This window comes from Homo sapiens, chromosome 2, assembly GCF_000001405.40.
Source record: "Homo sapiens chromosome 2, GRCh38.p14 Primary Assembly".
Classification (NCBI taxonomy): domain Eukaryota; kingdom Metazoa; phylum Chordata; class Mammalia; order Primates; family Hominidae; genus Homo; species Homo sapiens.
Window position 1 is genome coordinate 214,587,844 of NC_000002.12, and position 18,153 is coordinate 214,605,996.

The 18,153-nt window shown below is 37.0% G+C and overlaps 1 annotated feature.

The window, feature by feature from the left end:
* Positions 5,758–6,398: an enhancer, noted in NCBI's record as "OCT4-NANOG hESC enhancer chr2:215458325-215458965 (GRCh37/hg19 assembly coordinates)". NCBI's record gives its function as "activates a minimal SCP1, AML or CMV promoter by ChIP-STARR-seq in naive H9 embryonic stem cells {active_cell/tissue: H9 hESC(naive)}" and the evidence as "EXISTENCE:reporter gene assay evidence [ECO:0000049][PMID:30033119]".

Below are 18,153 nucleotides of genomic sequence, written 5' to 3' on the forward strand. Positions count from 1 at the left end.
TTTGAAATACAAGGGAAGAATAGTTTTGGTTGTGTGTGAATATGATGAGCTGAGCTTTAGACATTGAGTGACAGCAAGATAGCTAAGTATCTCTCCCAAATAGTCCATTGGATATTTGAGTTTGAAGTTCAAGGCCAAGATCAAGACAGGAATGCAAGTGAAGGAGTTTTAAGAACATAGATGACAGAAACATAAGCAGGTAAGACTGCGTAAGAATAGACTATAGACCTGGGAGAATACCGATAACACATAGAAACAATCCAAATGAAGACATGCTGTGACTCTGATCAGATTATAGATACTGTATAGCCATACGTTCTTCTACATTCTCTTCATGCTAAGAATCTTACTCAGTATTTCCAATGGTCAAAATACAGTGTTCATTAAATCTTGTCCACCTATATTTAGAGAAGAAAAGTCAAAGGCTAATTACAGATTAATGATGAGCAACATTTAAGTAAAGTGAGTGAAAATTGATTCTGTTATCTCTGAAAGATTCAACAGAATGCTTTAGCATTACATATCAATGTAGATAAATACATATATTGCTGGATAAAGGGTATGACAGCAATATATTCTCACACAAATAAGTCTTACCTATACATGCTGAAATGTTCATTTTTCAGTCCATTACGTTCAATTTAATGCATATAGAACACATCTAGAATCAATAGGACTTTGAATGTTTCATTTTTAATTTCACTCACATGAAAAATTCTGTATGCTGCTTGGTAGTTCCAGCACTTAAGCAGTGTCAGCAACAGGCCCCTCGGGAAGCATGAGGCCAAGGTTAAATCTCTTCTAAGCCAAGATGCTCAGATACCCAAAGAACCAATTTTCGTTGTATTGCATGTCTCCTGGTATTTTATCGGCATGCCCGGAATCAGAGTGAAAGGGGTGCACTGGGACTAATTTCAGTTGCAGATATATAACTCCTGGCATTACGTTTTCCGTAACTTTCACAAAATTCAAGGTTACTGCTTTGGCTTATTAGTCTTTAGCTAATTTTGTATCACCCACAGGAAACAAAAGTAGAAATGTTGTCTCTCCCAAAATATAGACAACAGTGTAATGGGAGATGTGGGTTCCAGTTTCTGCTGAATTTACAAGTACTTTCTAAAGAAGAAACAGCTTAAATAACTTTTATTCATGACTAAAATAGTCATTATGTATAAAGGTAATGCCCCTGATCCTCCTGGCCAAGTGGCATTCCCTTAGATTGCTTCTTTATCATAAAAATAGATTTGCATATCTCCACCAGTGGCCATATCCCCTTTCATAGCTCTATCTGCAAAATGGCAGATTTGGAGTAGAATCAGAGTCGGGATGACCATGAATGTAGTATGTGAGAGCTCATCCTGGCAGCAGATCAAAAGCAATCCAGAAAATGTACTCAGGGAAAAAATTCTCCTATACTGTTTTACTAGCCCACATGCCTCACACCTGTCCTTCACGGACACATCACCTCCGGTGATCCCTGCATTGATCAGACTCAATAGCTTGCTGAACAACATTCATACTTAATCATATACTTGTACAGTATTTTGCAATTTCAACAAATTTTCACATATGCTATTTAATTTTATATTCTATGAACTCACTATAGTAACAAAGCGGCTGTTATTGCATATCTTACTGGGGGAACTGAAGCTCCAAAAAGTTACAAAGCTAGCACACAATAACATAATACATGGCGAAACTTGTCTAGAAGCTAAGTACCTCCCAGTTTCTAGAGTAGTATTATCTTTACTCTACCCCAGGCATCCTATAAAAAACAAAAACATTACTGAGGTCTCACTCAGGGTAGAAATAGGGCCTAGTGTCATGTTAAAAATCTTTTTTCTGGGTTGAGATTTTTTTTTATGATACTTTAAGTTTTGGGGTACATGTGCACAATGTGCAGGTTTGTAACATATGTATACATGTGTCATGTTGGTGTGCTGCACCCATTAACTCGTCATTTAACATTAGGTATATCTCCTAATGCTATCCCTCCCCGCTCCCCCCACCCCACAACAGGCTCAGGTGTGTGATGTTCCCCTTCCTGTGTCCATGTGTTATCGTTCAATTCCCACGTATGAGTGAGAACATGCAGTGTTTGGTTTTTTGTCCTTGTGATAGTTTGCTGAGAATGATGGTTTCCAGCTTCATCCATGTCCCTACAAAGGACAGGAACTCATCCTTTTTTATGGCTGCATAGTATTCCATGGTGTATATGTGCCACATTTTCTTAATCCAGTCTATCATTGCTGGACATTTGGCTTGGTTCCAAGTCTTTGCTATTGTGAATAGTGCTGCAATAAACATACGTGTGCATGTGTCTTTATAGTGGCATGATTTATAATCCTTTGGGTATATACCCAGTAATGGGATGGCTGGGTCAAATGGTGTTTCTAGTTCTAGATCCCTGAGGAATTGCCACACCGACTTCCACAATGGTTGAACTTAGTTTACAGTCCCACCAACAGTGTAAAAGTGTTCCTATTTCTCCACATCCTCTCCAGCACCTGTTGTTTCCTGACTTTTTAATGATTGCCATTCTAACTGGTGTGAGATGGTATCTCATTGTGGTTTTGATTTGCATTTCTCTGATGGCCAGTGATGATGAGCATTTTTTCATGTGTCTTTTGGCTGCACAAATGTCTTATTTTGAGAAATGTCTGTTCATATCCTTCGCCCACTTGTTGATGGGGTTGTTTGTAAAAAAAGTTTTCTTATAAGACAGACTTTGTCTTTGACATCCCAACCTTTTTCCCAGAGCCCTATTTCTCTCCCCATCTTTCTACCTTCCAGACCTGGATTTAGCATCCTCAGAAATCCTCAGCATGCTGAGAAGAGTCATTCCCATCTCTTCCTACTAAGCAGATTCCTACTGGTACTTCGCAGACTCAAATATGATCTCCTCTCTGAATATTTTCCTTTTTCTCCTGGAATCACTTACTGTGTCCTCCTATAAGCTATCAGAGGAGAGCTTTTTTCATACATTTTAACAGTACTTATTACATTATATTTTAATATTTCAACCTATCCGTTTTTCCCCAGGACTTTGAGCTCCTGCAAGACAGCCAATTTTCATCCTTGTATTGACCATAGTACCTAGAAGAGTCTCTGGCACATAAGAGATGTTCAATAAATGTGGAGTGAGTGGACCTGAAAACCTTTAGCCAAAAGTGTTGATGACAATGGGCCCACTCCCTTCACAATAACAGATGCTTATAAATGTGAAGATATGTCATCAGGAAAAGGGAAATACTTGGCACAAAGTAATGAATCTCTCAAGATGAAATATCACAATGAATATAATTTGGGAATGTAGGGACAGCACAATCTTATTGTTTCTCGAATTGTATCACATAGGCAAATTCCAAAATGAATTCAAATTACTTCAAGTCAAATATTTATAGTGGACATTTGGCATTCATCAGCAATACTTCCAGAGTCCTCTACATATCCTTAAATTTGATATTCCAGAACTTTTTGCATGGATCTTGATTTTCTCCAAAATCACATTCTATTGAAAATAACCTGTTTCCTTTTCCTTCTCAACTCCTAAGTTTACTACTAAATTTTTATAAAACCATGTCTCTTATTTTATACACATACAAAAATTGTAGTTATAAGCACTTAGTGATGCACAATAAAGACTGCTTGATGAAGAAGAACCACAGTCATATTGAGATGCACATGCTGGGAGCAGTAAAATTTCAGAGCCCTCTGGAGGTCACTTGGGAAAATTCAAAACCACAAGTGTCAAATCTGTGAATGCAAAGAATCTAATGGATACTAAGTGCTTATTATATGCAAGACATTGTGGCGAGTGCTGCAGAGAATTCAATATGCATAATTGTCTCTGTTCTAAATATTTTACTAATTAGTCCAGTGCCTCTATCTCTGTTGTATCACCATTTTTGTTGACATTTTTATTTAATAGAACTTACTATAGAAATAGCCTAAAGGCTTCCAGTCAAGATGGTGCCTTGAATTAATGCTGCAACCTTCTCTCTCTCTCTCTCTCTCTCTCACACACACACACACACACACAAATACTAATAGATTAGATACTTTAAAAAATTTTAACATTAATATTTTTCAGTATATTAACATGCACAAGAGCTAGTAATACGATAGAACAGACAGAGGTGAGGAAAGGCTATTGCCACTAGATCAACCAGATTCCAGAATTGTTCATAGTATATATATAACATACACACACATATACATATATATATACATATATACACACACGCATATATTTTAATGGAGAGCCTGTGCCAATCCCCAAGACACTGGCTTATATGAAACTATACTTGGCAGCAGGAGGGGAACTATAGAGAGCATAAACAGCCATGCCAGTAGGACCCGAGCCAAGCTTGAAGGCTTATGATTAGGTCGGTATTGTTTTCATTATCACCATGGGACACAAATGCAGAGGCATCAGTATGAAGCCTGGCTCTAGATAGGAGATACTGAGTCTGCAGACTATAGACAGGAAAGAATAACTATAGAGAATGTGAAAAGGAATTGTCCAACTAAAATTTTAAGCATTTGAAACACAGAAATGCTAACGAAAGTAAATTCAATCAAGAAATGTTAAAATGACTTTAAAGAAGAAATGTTTTATATCCTCAAAGAAGTTAATAACATCTGTAAAAAAACCAAAAACTAAAATTATAAAACCGAAGATGTCAGATATGAATCAAGAATAGGCTAAGAAAACAGAGCCAATTAGAATTCTTGGAAATCAAAAATTAGCTATTAAAATAAAAAGTTCAGTATGTTTTAAGTTATTTCCTAGATATAGCCAAAGTAATAATTTGAATGTAGATATGAAAATATTCACCTGGAATAAAACAGGGAGAAATAAGTATAAAAGTAAAAAGGTATAGTAATGACGATGACATTAAACTGCTTTAGAAAATATATAAAATGAAAATTAGAATCAAATATCAAACTTCTAAACCAGGAGGAAAAAAATTGAGAAAAAAGATCAATCCAAGTTATAACAGGGGAGTAGGGGAGAGTAAGAGAAAATAACATGGTAATAGAAAGTAAAATGTTTTAATTAACCAGTAGTAACAACAAATATAAAGGTTTAAAATTACCTAATAAAAGATTAAATAAGATGTTTTTCAATTCAGCATATTATAAGAAAAACACCTAAAATAAAACACTGAAAATTCAAATAAAGGGATTAGAAAAGATATACAAAGTCAATTTTTTTTTTTTTGAGATGGAGTCCTGCTCTGTTGCCCAGGCTGGAGTGCAGTGGCATGATCTCAGCTCGCGGCAACCTCCACCTCCTGGGTTCAAGCGATTCTCCTGCCTCAGCCTCCTGAGTAGCTGGAATTACAGGTGTGTGCCACCACACCCAGTTAATTTTTATATTTTTAGTAGAGATGGGGTTTCATCATGTTGGCCAGGGTGGACTCGAACTCCTGACCTCAGGTGATCTGCCCACCTTGGCCTCCCAAAGTGCTGGGATTACAGGTGTGAGCTACCACTCCTGGCCCTAAAAATTATTTTTATAATACTTTTATAATATTTTATAATATTTTATAATATAATTATAATATTTTAAAAATATTTTTATAATATAATATTTTTATAATTTTATAAGTTATTTTGTTTTCATTGTATTGACATTTGCACTGATATTACAAAAGCAACAGTGGGTAAAACTGCTCAAACCAAGGCAGTAGCACTAAATTATACTAGTGGTCTTTTTCACTGCTATGTGTCAGAGATAGACACAATTGGACATTAATTAAAACAGTGAAAACAAATTTTATTCAATGACTACTCACAGTAGGGGAAACAGTCAAGCTCTATTTCAATTTGGGCAGAGGTGGTTTGGGTGTTTTAAAAGGAGAATGAGGAAGGGGTCAGTGTAGGGACTCAACAGAATCAGAGAAGTGAACAAGTACAAAGGGTTAGTCAGTGTGAAGGTAAGTAGGCCAGCTGTGTCTGCTAGCAGGTAGTTATCTAAGTTAAGGTTCTATCCTCCCACAGAGACTGGGAGAGAGAGGCCTTATCCTTTTTGATGACTGCATTTCAAAGGAATGGCCTCCCAGTGAGCAGCAAGAGCTATGTATTTACAATCCTGAGCCCATTTTAGTTAGTGAACTAAGAAAGGGAGGTCAGAGGCCTATCATTCTGTGTGTGTTGGCTAGAACAAATAGTAAGCTTTTCTGGCAGCATGAACTTTCTCAGGCAGGCATTTTAACGGGGACTGGAGTCATCCTAGGGACATGGTGTTATGCTACTGGAAGCCATGCCAGAGTTTTGTCAGGTCTCAAAGTGCAAGAGTTTGAATGAAGTTTCATGTGCCATGAGTTCTGCATTTTTCACATGCACTTGCAGAAAACACATGCCACCCCCTCACTCAGCTCCCAAAAGCCAGTTTTGCATAAGAATGACCTTCATGAAACGATATTAATTATATTAAAACTCAATCCTCGAGTACATGTCTTTTTAGTATGCAGTGTGACAAAATGGGAATTATAAATAAAGTACTTTCTGCTGCATACTAAAGTACTCAAGTTACCTTAAGGAAAAGCTATGTTCAATTGTTTGAATTGTAAAATGAACTACCACTTTTTTTCATGGAACATGATTTTTACTTGTAAGAATGACTGATGGACAAACTATAGCTATCAAAGTTTGTTTTTCTGCATACATTTTTCTCAAGAATATATGTAGCAAGTCTTATCACTTCAAGGAAAACAAGTGACAGCTAGCAGTATCTCTTGCCAATGATAAAACTCAACTTTTCAAGTGAAAATTGGAAAATTCGAATTTTGCAAAACTTGTATTCACCACCCTGAGCTTGATAGCTTTACAGTACTTCAAGACTGTTCTAACAAGATCAGTGTTTATCTTAATGAATGTAATTTTTTCCACACTATAGTATTACAAAATCAGGCAGAGGAAGAAGATCTATTCAAAGTGGTACAAGATACACCAATGGATATCATGTGTAACAGAATAACTTATTGATATGATTTCAGATTTCTTCTTGCCATGAACTGTTAGTTTTGGTGTACTACCAAAAGAAATATCCGCAATTACCTTCTACCACTCCTATAGTTCAACATTTTCTTGGAGTTCCTAGTCAACAAAAAAATGATAAAAGAAATAACACATGAGTTGTACAAAAAAAGAGACACAATTGTCATTATTTGCAGATGTTACTATCTACATAGAAAAATCAAGAAAATATCAAATAATAAAAACTTATGCAGTTCAGCAGCTGAATGAACATGTAAAAATTAATAGCATTTCTCCCCAAGTCATAAATAGAAAATGTAATGGCAATAAAAATCTCATTTATAATGACAACAGAAAATATAAGGTACTTAAGCATAACACTCATGTCTTGCATGATGGTCATCAAGAACTTTAAAAATTCTAAATAAAAATTAACATGTTCATAAAGGGAATATGAGAAAAGTATCCCCAAAATTAGTTTACAAATTCAATAAAGTTTTTATCAAAATTCCCTCCAAATTCTTTGAAATTTAAACTGACCCTAAAACTCATATAGAAGAGAACGTCTAAAACTCATATAGAAGAGAACGTCTAAAACTGATATAGAAGAGAACGTCTAAAACTCATATAGAAGAGAATGTCTAAAACTCATATAGAAGAGAATGTCTAAAACTCATATAGAAGAGAATGTCTAAAACTCATATAGAAGAGAATGTCTGAAACTCATATAGAAGAGAATGTCTGAAGCTCATATAGAAGAGAATGTCTGAAACTCATATAGAAGAGAATGTCTGAAACTCATATAGAAGAGAATGTCTGAAACTCATATAGAAGAGAATGTCTGAAACTCATATAGAAGAGAATGTCTGAAACTCATATAGAAGAGAATGTCTGAAACTCATATAGAAGAGAATGTCTGAATTTTAAGGCACAACAATGATGAAGAACAAAAGATACCTTGCATGAGATATAACAAAAGATCTACATAAATTTTTGAAGAAAATTTTAAAGCCTTACTAAAAAAAAAAAAGTAAAGAGGACTTAAATACATGTAGAAATATACTATTTGTGTGCAAGGGAAAACCCACTATTATTAAGATGGTGATTGTCCCCCAAGCTAATGTATAAAATTTCAATGAAAATCCTAGTATTTGGGGGGAGGGGGGAGGGATAGCATTAGGAGATATACCTAATGCTAAATGACGAGTTAATGGGTACAGCACACCAGCATGGCACATGTATACATATGTAACTAACCTGCACATTGTGCACATGTACCCTAAAACTTAAAGTATAATAATAATAATAAGAAGAAGAAGAAGAAGAAATTGTGGCATACATATATGATGGAATACTACTCAGCCATAAAAAGGAATGAATCAATGGCATTTGCAATGACCTGGATGAAATTGGAGACTTATTCTAAGTGAGGTAACTCAGGAATGGAAAACCAAACATTGTATATTCTCATTCATAATTGGGAGCTAAGCTATGAGGATGCAAAGGCATAAAAATGACACAATGGACTTTGGAGACTCAGGGGAAAGGGTGGGAAGGGCGTGAGGGATAAAAGACTACAAATAGGATGCAGTGCACACTGCTCAGGTGATGAGCGCACCAAAATCTCACAAATCACCACTAAAGAACTTACTCATATACAAACACCACCTGTTCTCCAATAACCTATGGAAATAAAAAAATTTTGAAAAAAGAAAAAAAAAAGAAAATCCTAGTATTATGTTTTAGGAAACCTGATGGGTTGATTCTAAAGGTATTTATGGAATAATAGCAAATACTTAATAGTTTTTCTGTTGATCAGGCACCATTCTAAGAACTTTAAAAATAACAACTCTTTTATGTCCACAATAACCTTAACTATAAGATAGGTTCCACTATCATTTCCATTTTATACCTGAGAAAACAGAGGCACAGAGAGAGTAAAAACTTACACAGGGTCAAACAAATAGTAATAAAAAATGAAGATTCTTCCCCCATTTGCCTCCAGTGTCCCTGCCCTTGACACCACTATGCCATTCTGTCAGGAATACCAAATGATTCTGATGAAGAACAAGAAAGGAAAAGGCGAATGGGGAGATATTTTTATCACTGTAACTTGAAATAGTGTGAAATTGATGAATAAATAAGTAAATATGCCAGTGAAACAGATTGAAACACCTGTAAACCACTTACACATTTAATTTACGGGAGTGGAAACATTTTAGATCAATGAATAATGAATTTCATAGAATAAGAAATATAAATAGTGGAAAATATATGGAAAGACATTCAATGTAATCAGGGAAATGTAAATTTAATTAAATTTAAATTTAAGCATAAATTTGGCATCCCAAAGTAGGCAAGGTTGAACCATCATCGGAAAGTTGATCGTTCCCATCTCTTCCCAAGTCAGCATTGCCACATTAGTGCTGTCGTGTTGGTAACCTGAAACTGGCCATGTGGGAAGTTTTACACAATGGAAATGGACAAATGCTACAAGTCAGGGCTGCTTTGCCTATTTACCAGTTTGGCAGCATATACTGACTTTAACTCAGAATGAGATATTGCTTCAACCTATGAGATACACACGAGCTGAAAACATTAACAACAGCCAATGTTGACAAGAGTATAAAATAAGGAGAAATTTCTTCATCTGCTGGTAGGATTATAAGATAATAGAACTACTCAAAACAATGTGGCATTATCTGTACAACTGAAGGCATATTCATCCTATGACAGCGATTTCCCTGCTGGGCATATGAAGAACCTTCACGTGTAGGTAAAAGGAGACATACATAAGCATGTTCACAGCAATATTGACTGATGTCCTAGAAAATCAGAAACATCCTAAATATCCATCAAGAGGAGAATGAATAAATTGAGATATGTTTATACAGTAGATTATTATACAGTGGTGAAAGTGAACGAACTAGAACAATACATCTTAATTTAAATAAATCTCATGAATACTTTGAGTGAAAAAAGCAAGTTATAGTATAATATGTAATGTATACACCTTTAGTATATAATTTTAAAACCTGGAGGCAGTATTATGTGCTTTATGGCTATATATTTATGTGTACACATGTATATATGTGTCTGTGTGTGTTGTGTTTAAGTAGATAAATATACAAAACACTTTAAAATTACATCAGATAATCAAAAGCTTAAAGTGTGCAATACCAAAAATGTGGGAAAACATTAATTCTCATACACTAAGTGAAACTGTGATTTGGCATTACTTACTTCAGGATCAATTTGGCAATATTTACTGAAAATGGAGAAATACCTACTCATGACCCATCAATTTGGTTTCTACATATAGTAACCTAAGGAAAACACACACACACACACACACGCAAAGAACAAACTCAATAATTTCCGCTGCAGCATTACTTTGTGCAGGTTATTTTTACTAGAGAGTAAATGTCACAGGATATGACAGGGCAGTTAAAGTAGGCCAGCTAGATCTATGTCCACATGGATAAGGCTCAAAACCATACTAGGTGAAAAGTTATAGAATTACATGTATTGTATGATACCATTTATTTTGTTTTATAAGAATACATGGAATACCACATTATTTATGGATAAATGTATCATGAAAATATTAAAATAGGAACTGAATATAAATCAAATTAGTGGCTGTGTTTGCCTTTATGGAGGAGAAAACGGAATGATCTACAGACAGAAGCCTAAGAGAAGTATCTGTAATCGTTTATTTATTTAAGAAGATGTAAGGGAAATATATGTTAACATTTATTAAATTTAGGTGGCGGGTACATGGGTGTTTATAACATTATTTTTTGTGTATAACACTCAAAATGTTCATATTTTTCCTTTTTAAGGAAAGTAGTGCATTTCCCTTAGCTTCCTGGATTTGTTTTTGGAAAAGTGAAAACCACTCAACTTGGAGTCAAACACAGGTTAAGTCCAATCTCTTGCAGCAGGCAGCTGTGAGTCCATAGGCAAGCCTCCTGAGTTTTAGATGAGAAGGTAATAACTACCTTGCAGAGAAAGGGTGAATGAGATATCCTGAGGCACAAGGCCTAAGACACTGGCTTTCTGTATTAGTTTGCTAGGACTGCCATAACAACGCACCACACACTGTGGCTTAAACAACAGAAATGTATTACCTCACAGTTCTGGAGGCTAGATCCAAAATTGAGGTTCCTGAAGAGTTGGTTCCTTCTGGGGGCCATGAGGGAGAAGTTTGGTCCAGACCTCTCCCCTTGGCTTGCGGCTGGCTGTCTTCTGTCTCTTCACGTCATCTTTCCACTGTGAGTAGCTGTGTGCAAATTTCTAAGTACAGTAGTCATGTCGGATTAGGGCCTACTTGAATTACCTTAACTATAAAGGCCCAATCTCAAAATGTGGTCCCATTTTGAGGTGCTAGGGGTTGGAATTCCTACATAGAATTTTGGGGAAACACAATTCAATCTACAACACCTGAAGTATTATAGTCGATACCTAAAATACATAAAAAGAAAAAAATATTGCCTTTAAAGGTTAAGCTCATCCTCAATTAAAAGTGACTTTAACTTACTGGCATTATCTAACTGGTCAAAAGTTAGTGGGCAGGTCTGATAAATGGCAGAATGAGGTTACTGACTTCAACTCCTTCCTTTTCAGATATAATATGACACCTGTGTTGGTGAAGCCTGTGGCCAAAATAAAGGCTGGACCTGCCAACTTCTCATTTGTCGCTCTACTTCCAGTTTGCTCAGGTGGATAGAGGATAATGCTAATAAGGCCAAGATCCTACATTTGATTCCCATCAGAGCTAATTAGCCTCACTCATTCCCACACACAGACTGCTCTTAGCTGATACCCGCTGACCCAGGGAACAACTGAAGCCAATAAAAAACAGGGTACTGGCTATTCAAAAGACATGACTTCTATTTTGAGTCCCAGAAATGGTCATCTAAGAGCAGGAAAGAGGCAATGGAAGGCTACCTTTATCCCAGTTCAAACAGCCCTTCTCATGTTATTCCAGACTTCCATGACCAGGTGATTAACACTTAAAAAAAATAAAAATCTTAACAGATTCAAACAGTCAACACAAACCAAAGAAAGACAACGGTAAACTCAAATAAAAGATATGAAGATACTGCAGCCTGGGGTTACAATAATATTCTCATGTGAACACTTGTTTTCCACCTAATTAAATGAACTTTCATATTAAAATAGTTCCAAATACATTTCCAGTGATTAATCATGACAGTAGTGTCTCCTTATCTGAGGTTTCACTTTTCACAATTTCAGTTACCCATGGTCAACGCAGTTCAAAAATGTTAAATGGGAAATTCCAGATATAAACAACTTATAAATTTTAAATTGCATGCCATTATGAGTACCTTGATGCAACCTTCCATGAGCCTGTTCTGTCCCATCTGGTATGTGAGTCATCCTTTGTCCAATGTCTCCCTGCTGTGTATGCTACCCACTCTTCCGTCACTCGGTAGCCATCTTGGTCATCAGATTGACTGTCATTGTATTGTTCCAGTTGATTATTAGTTATTGATGTTAATCTTTTACTGGGCCTAATTTAGAAATTAAACTTTATAAGTATGTATGTATGGAAAAAAAACATTCCATATAGAGCTCAACAACATCTTCAGTTTCAGGCACCCACTAGGGGTCTTGGAATGTACCACCTGTGAATAAGGGGGCACTACTCTACTTACAAGTATTTTATTTCCATTTGGCAACCATTCCATCTGTCTCCTCTGTAAAATATTGGGCATCCTACAGAATAATCGATTTATAAACTTTGCAAAAAAGAAATGTTTGTCTCTCATTTTTTGTTTAACTCATATCTTGGTTGTAAATGAAAACATTCTGATACAGAACGGAGTGCTAACGTTCCCACTTTCTCAGAAACACATTTCAAATTTCCAAGTTTTTCTTTTTTAAAGTGAGAAACTCTCAGTTCCTTCCTGCCTCAGGAACCCTTGGGCCTTAGAATTCTTGTGAATTTTACTGCAGAGAACAATGCATTGGACTCTTTGATACAGATATACTTTTGGGGAATTCTATTTACAATTGTCTCCTTTTAAATTTCATAGGAATGATGACCAGAGAACTGTGTGTGAGAGGACTCTTTTGTATTCACATAACAGAAACCCAGTTCAATCCAATTAAAAAAAGGATTTTTAGCTTCCGAATGTCTAAAGTCCAGGTGTCTACTTCAGGCACAGCCAGATCCAGAGTCATCTGCCCCCTTCTGTTTCTCGGTCTACTTTCTTCCAACAGGCTCTTCAGATAGTGGCACGGAGGTCTAACAGAGCCTCTCAAATTATATCCTGCTAGTTTAGCAATGACGCCAGAAGAAAAATACAACATTTCTCTTTTCTAAAATTCCCAGCAAGAATTCCAGGTCTCATGATTCCATGCCCATTCCTAACCCAGTCAGTGTGTCCCTGTAGATGCTGCACCCTCATCTACCATGCTTGGTCCATGTACCTGCCCAGAGCTTAAGAGGGGGATCAACATCCCCTACCCCCACGATCATGGGGATTGAAATGGTCAAAGGCTGATATTCCACAGAAACACTGAGGTGCTGTTATCAGAAGGGAAGTGGAAGGCAAAGCAATAGACATCCATTACTGAAGGCTTAAGCTGTCATCTCAGAAAAAAATACTACTGGTCACCAAGGGGGTGGGGTCTGAAAGCAGGGCTAACTCAGTCTAAACTCATCATCATAGCTGGAAAAAATATAAACTGAAAATCCATTTTCTACTGCTGATGGGTTAACACTGCATTTTCATATGGTTGCATAATTATAACTCACAGTTATGATTTGAAATCTGCTGTGCAGGTATCAAAAAACAGCAAATGAAGAGTGACACTGAAAGGTTGTTTAACTCATCCCCAGTCACCAATAAAATCACACCTAAGCCTTCAATTTTTGAAGACCTACAGAAACAAGATACATTATTTCATTATAATTATTAAGAGTGATATATGCTGTCTCTTCTAGCCCTCTCCATGCAAGGGAATAACTCCTTTTGTGCATGTAATTAATTAATTTGTTGTAGCAATTAGTTTCAATGCTCTTATGAGGCATGCTAATCTCTCACCAGGGCAAAATGAGGCACTCGGATAAAAGTTCTGGGAGGGGTGAATTTGATAATGACTTTGGGATCAAAATATGTTTCCTCACCCCAGGGACTGTTCACATGGAGTTCAAAAGCCTGTGAAAAAGATAACCTCACCAGGTGTGACCTGTTAACTGCCAAATTCCAGAACTCCCCAGTCTGAAACTTGTGCTCCTTGGATTATCTGTCCAGTGGTAGAGTCAGCCACAGAAATCAGGCATTTTTTTTTCTCCCTCTGTAATCCTCTACTGTATCACAATTAATGGCAGTGTCACACTGTACCTCATGTAAATTAATTCTATGTTTGTCTAAATAACCTGATACAATTTATTTAAGTTCCACATACAGCCAGATTTAATACATTAACCTGAAAGATGGAAAAGACATTTCTCTACAGAGTGTTTTGGGATTTTTTTAAATTGGAAATTAAATAAAGGGCTCACCATATGTGCAGCTGGGGACATTAGTTGTAGCATTTAGCAGGAGCAGATTATCAAGTTTCATTATTTGATACATTTTCAGGCTTGCAACAGAGTAGGAAGGAATTGATGGGAGCAGCAAATTCATTTTAAAACAGGTTTATCGCTTCATCAGGTATTCATTTAACCAGAATCTGCAGCATAACTGGATCTCTTTGGCCCTATGTGACATGTTTTTCCAAATGGAATAATAAGTATAGAGATAGAATATGTAGTTCAAGACTTCCCATCTCTATGAGGCACCCAGATATTTGAAGGAAGAAATTACTTTCATTCTCAAGCCACCGATCACTACAGGATGGCCAGCTGGTGCAGAGCCCTGGTGCAGGGCCCTGCTAAAGAGAAGTATAGAGATGCCACAATACTCTTGGTTTTCAGCAAATGAGCCTAACAGGTCGTTTCTAGTGAGAAAAAAATAAATTGAGTATTTTAAGAAGTGTTATAGGCCAGGCGCCGTGGCTCACGCCTGTAATCCCAGCACTTTGGGAGGCTGAGGCGGGTGCATCACTTGAGGTCAGGTGTTCAAGACCAGCCTGACCAACATGGTGAAACCCCATCTCTGCTAAAAATACAAAAATTAGCCAGTCATGGTGGCACACACCTGTAATCCCAGCTACTCGGGAGGCTGAGGCAGGAGCATCACTTGAACCCGGGAGGTGGAGGCTGCAGTGAGATTGCACCACTGCACTCTAGCCTGGGCGACAGAGCAAGATTCCATCTCAAAAATAAATAAACAGATAAGTGTCGGAATACATTTTCTTACAGCTGCTAAGCCAGATCAAATAGAGAAATAGCATAAATTAAAAAGATAAAATCAAAAGTTAAAAAGTATTATTCTAAGAATCCTCAGCAAGCTAACACAGGAACAGAAAACCAAACACCGCATGTTCTCACTCATAAGTGGGATTTGAACAAAGAGAACACATGGACACAGAGAAGGGAACAACACACACACACACACACACACACACACACACCAGGGCCTGTTGGCAGGTGGCAGGGGAGGGGAGGGAACCTAGAGGACAAGTCAGGTGCAGGAAACCACCATGGCACACGTATACCTATGTAACAAACCTGCATGTTCTGCACATTTACCCCGGAACTTAAAGTAAAATTTTAGAAAGTGTTAGTAATAAACTGTTTCAGATTTCCAGAGCTTGGTAAATTATGCACACGAGGGCACACACCAAACTAGTTACTCTGTAAGATCCAACTTCTAGTCAGAAATGAAGATTGTGAACTCACTCAGATCCCGTATAACGTCTTCCATTTAATCAATTGTATCATAACCCAAAAGTAACTTCAAAACAAAATATTAATTTTCTAAATATATATTGATATATTTCTAAAATATCAAGAGCTATAGCTAGTGTAATATGTACAATCGTTTCACAAAACAAAGGCCCTTAATTGATTTCATTCACAGACTTCATGTGTTATCACTATTGGAATACATCACAATAAATATATAAAATGTCACCCTTTTTACTGACAATGCCATATTGAAAGGCATAGCTTAGATCTGCTACCTAAGTGAGCTGACTCCTTCCCCAGTCTAGACTACTGGTTCTCAACCTTGGATACACATTAGAACCTCCTGGAAAACTTGTGAAATATTCCCTACCTGGGCCAATTAAATCAGAAGACTGACTAAGGATATGCCCCCAGCATCAGTAGCTTTTAAAGCTCCTCAAATGTTTCTACTGTTCACCCAGAGTTGAGGACTTTTGATTTAGAGACTGGCTCTCCAAGCGTGGCCCTGGGAGTACTGGCTTCAGCATCACCTGGAATCATGTTAGGAATACAAATCAGTTTCTACCCAGCCCTACTGAATCAGACACTCTGGGAGAGTTGGGCGTTGGAGCAGACCCTCCAGGTGATTCTTACACAAGCTAAAGTTTGAGACCCACTGATCTAGTGTTTGGAATAGCCCATGCAGGGGAAGTTTGGATCTGCAGAGCAGACATGCTGGTCTAGAGTGGAGAGGCCGGGAGTGAATCCAGGCTTTCAGGAGCTTGAAGCCTGTATACTTTTAAGATATACTAAAAAAAAAAAAAAAAAAAAAAAAAAAAAGAATAAAGTTTCAGCCTCCTGAGTAGTAGCTGGGACTACACCACAGCCAGCTAGTTTATTTTTGTAGAGACAGAATCTTACTATCTTACCCAGGCTAGTCTCAAACTCCTGTCCTCTAGCAATCCTCCTGACTCAGCTCCTGGAATTATAGGCGTGAGCCACTGTGCCCATCTCTCATCTTGCCCTTTTTTGGAAACATAGTCTTACTCTGTTGCCCAGGCTGGAGCGCAGTGGTGCAATCTTGGCTCACCACAACCTCCGCCCCCAGGTTCAAGCGATTCTCCTGCCTCAGCCTCCTGAGTAGCTAGGACTACAGGCATGCGCCACCATGCCCGGCTAATTTTTTGTATTTTTAGTAGAGATGGAGTTTCACTATGTTGGCCAGACTGGTCTCGAACTCCTGACCTCAGGTGATCCACCCACCTCAGCCTCCCCAAGTGCTGGGATTACAGGTGTGGGCCACTGCGCCCGGCCTGGTCTTGTACTTTCTTGATTTATTCCTTTATCATGCTTAAGTGCCTCATAGTAGCTTCCTAAGAAAGAATTCAAGAAGACAAGTTGTTTACGTTAAGTCTCAACATTCCATTATCCCGTTGTCATCACACTTGATTGGTAGTTTGGGTTTAGAATTGTGGGTTAAGAGCTACAGTCCTGAAATTGTTTCTTCAAATATTTATTCTACCACATTGCTACACAAAGTATGGTCCAGGGCCCAGTGTTAGTCTGCAAACTCTTTGTCATCCATCTGTAGTTGAGATGACAATCAGAATCACTATTATAGAAACTGAGATTAAGCATTTTGATGTTTTTATACCAATTTGACCGAGTCTATTTAATTTTATGTCTATTGAAGCTAATAAAATTTGCAGACCTTAAAAAAATACAAAATTAGGTTCAAAAGTAAATATCCATTTAGTGTGAGAGAAATCATACCAAATTTTAACATTTAGTGCTAGCAAATATCACAAACCACAAAATAACATAATATTTTAACTAATTGATTAGAATCACCTTTCCAATACTCCTTCCCCTTAATTTTTTTCCCACAGAATACCCTTTGATTGCCTTTCCATGTAACAATTTTCTAATATTTTCTGGAGAAAGAGAATTTATAATTCATCTTTAGCATGGTGATTTTTTTTTTGTTGACAATTTACAAAAAGTGCCTGTAGGGTTGTTGTTGAATTTAGGGAAACTTCTATTAGGTTTTATTCATATAAAAGCTGTAGGGTTTTAGGGCATTTAAAATATTTCATTATAGCCACTAATCTTAAACACTCTTTGAATCGAAGAGTCTCTAGCCAGGGCCTTGGAAATGCTCTGTGAAAATGAGGGGCCTAATGTTTTATTCATGTCATGCTAAATCCACCTTGCACAGATTTTTAATAAATTAACTTCTCTAATCAACCCACCACCTACATAACTCATTTTACTTCTGTGGAGAGAAGAGACGGTGCACAGAATCCCGGAGAGTTAAGGAAAAATTCCTCCTGATGGAAACTAAATGAAGAGAATCA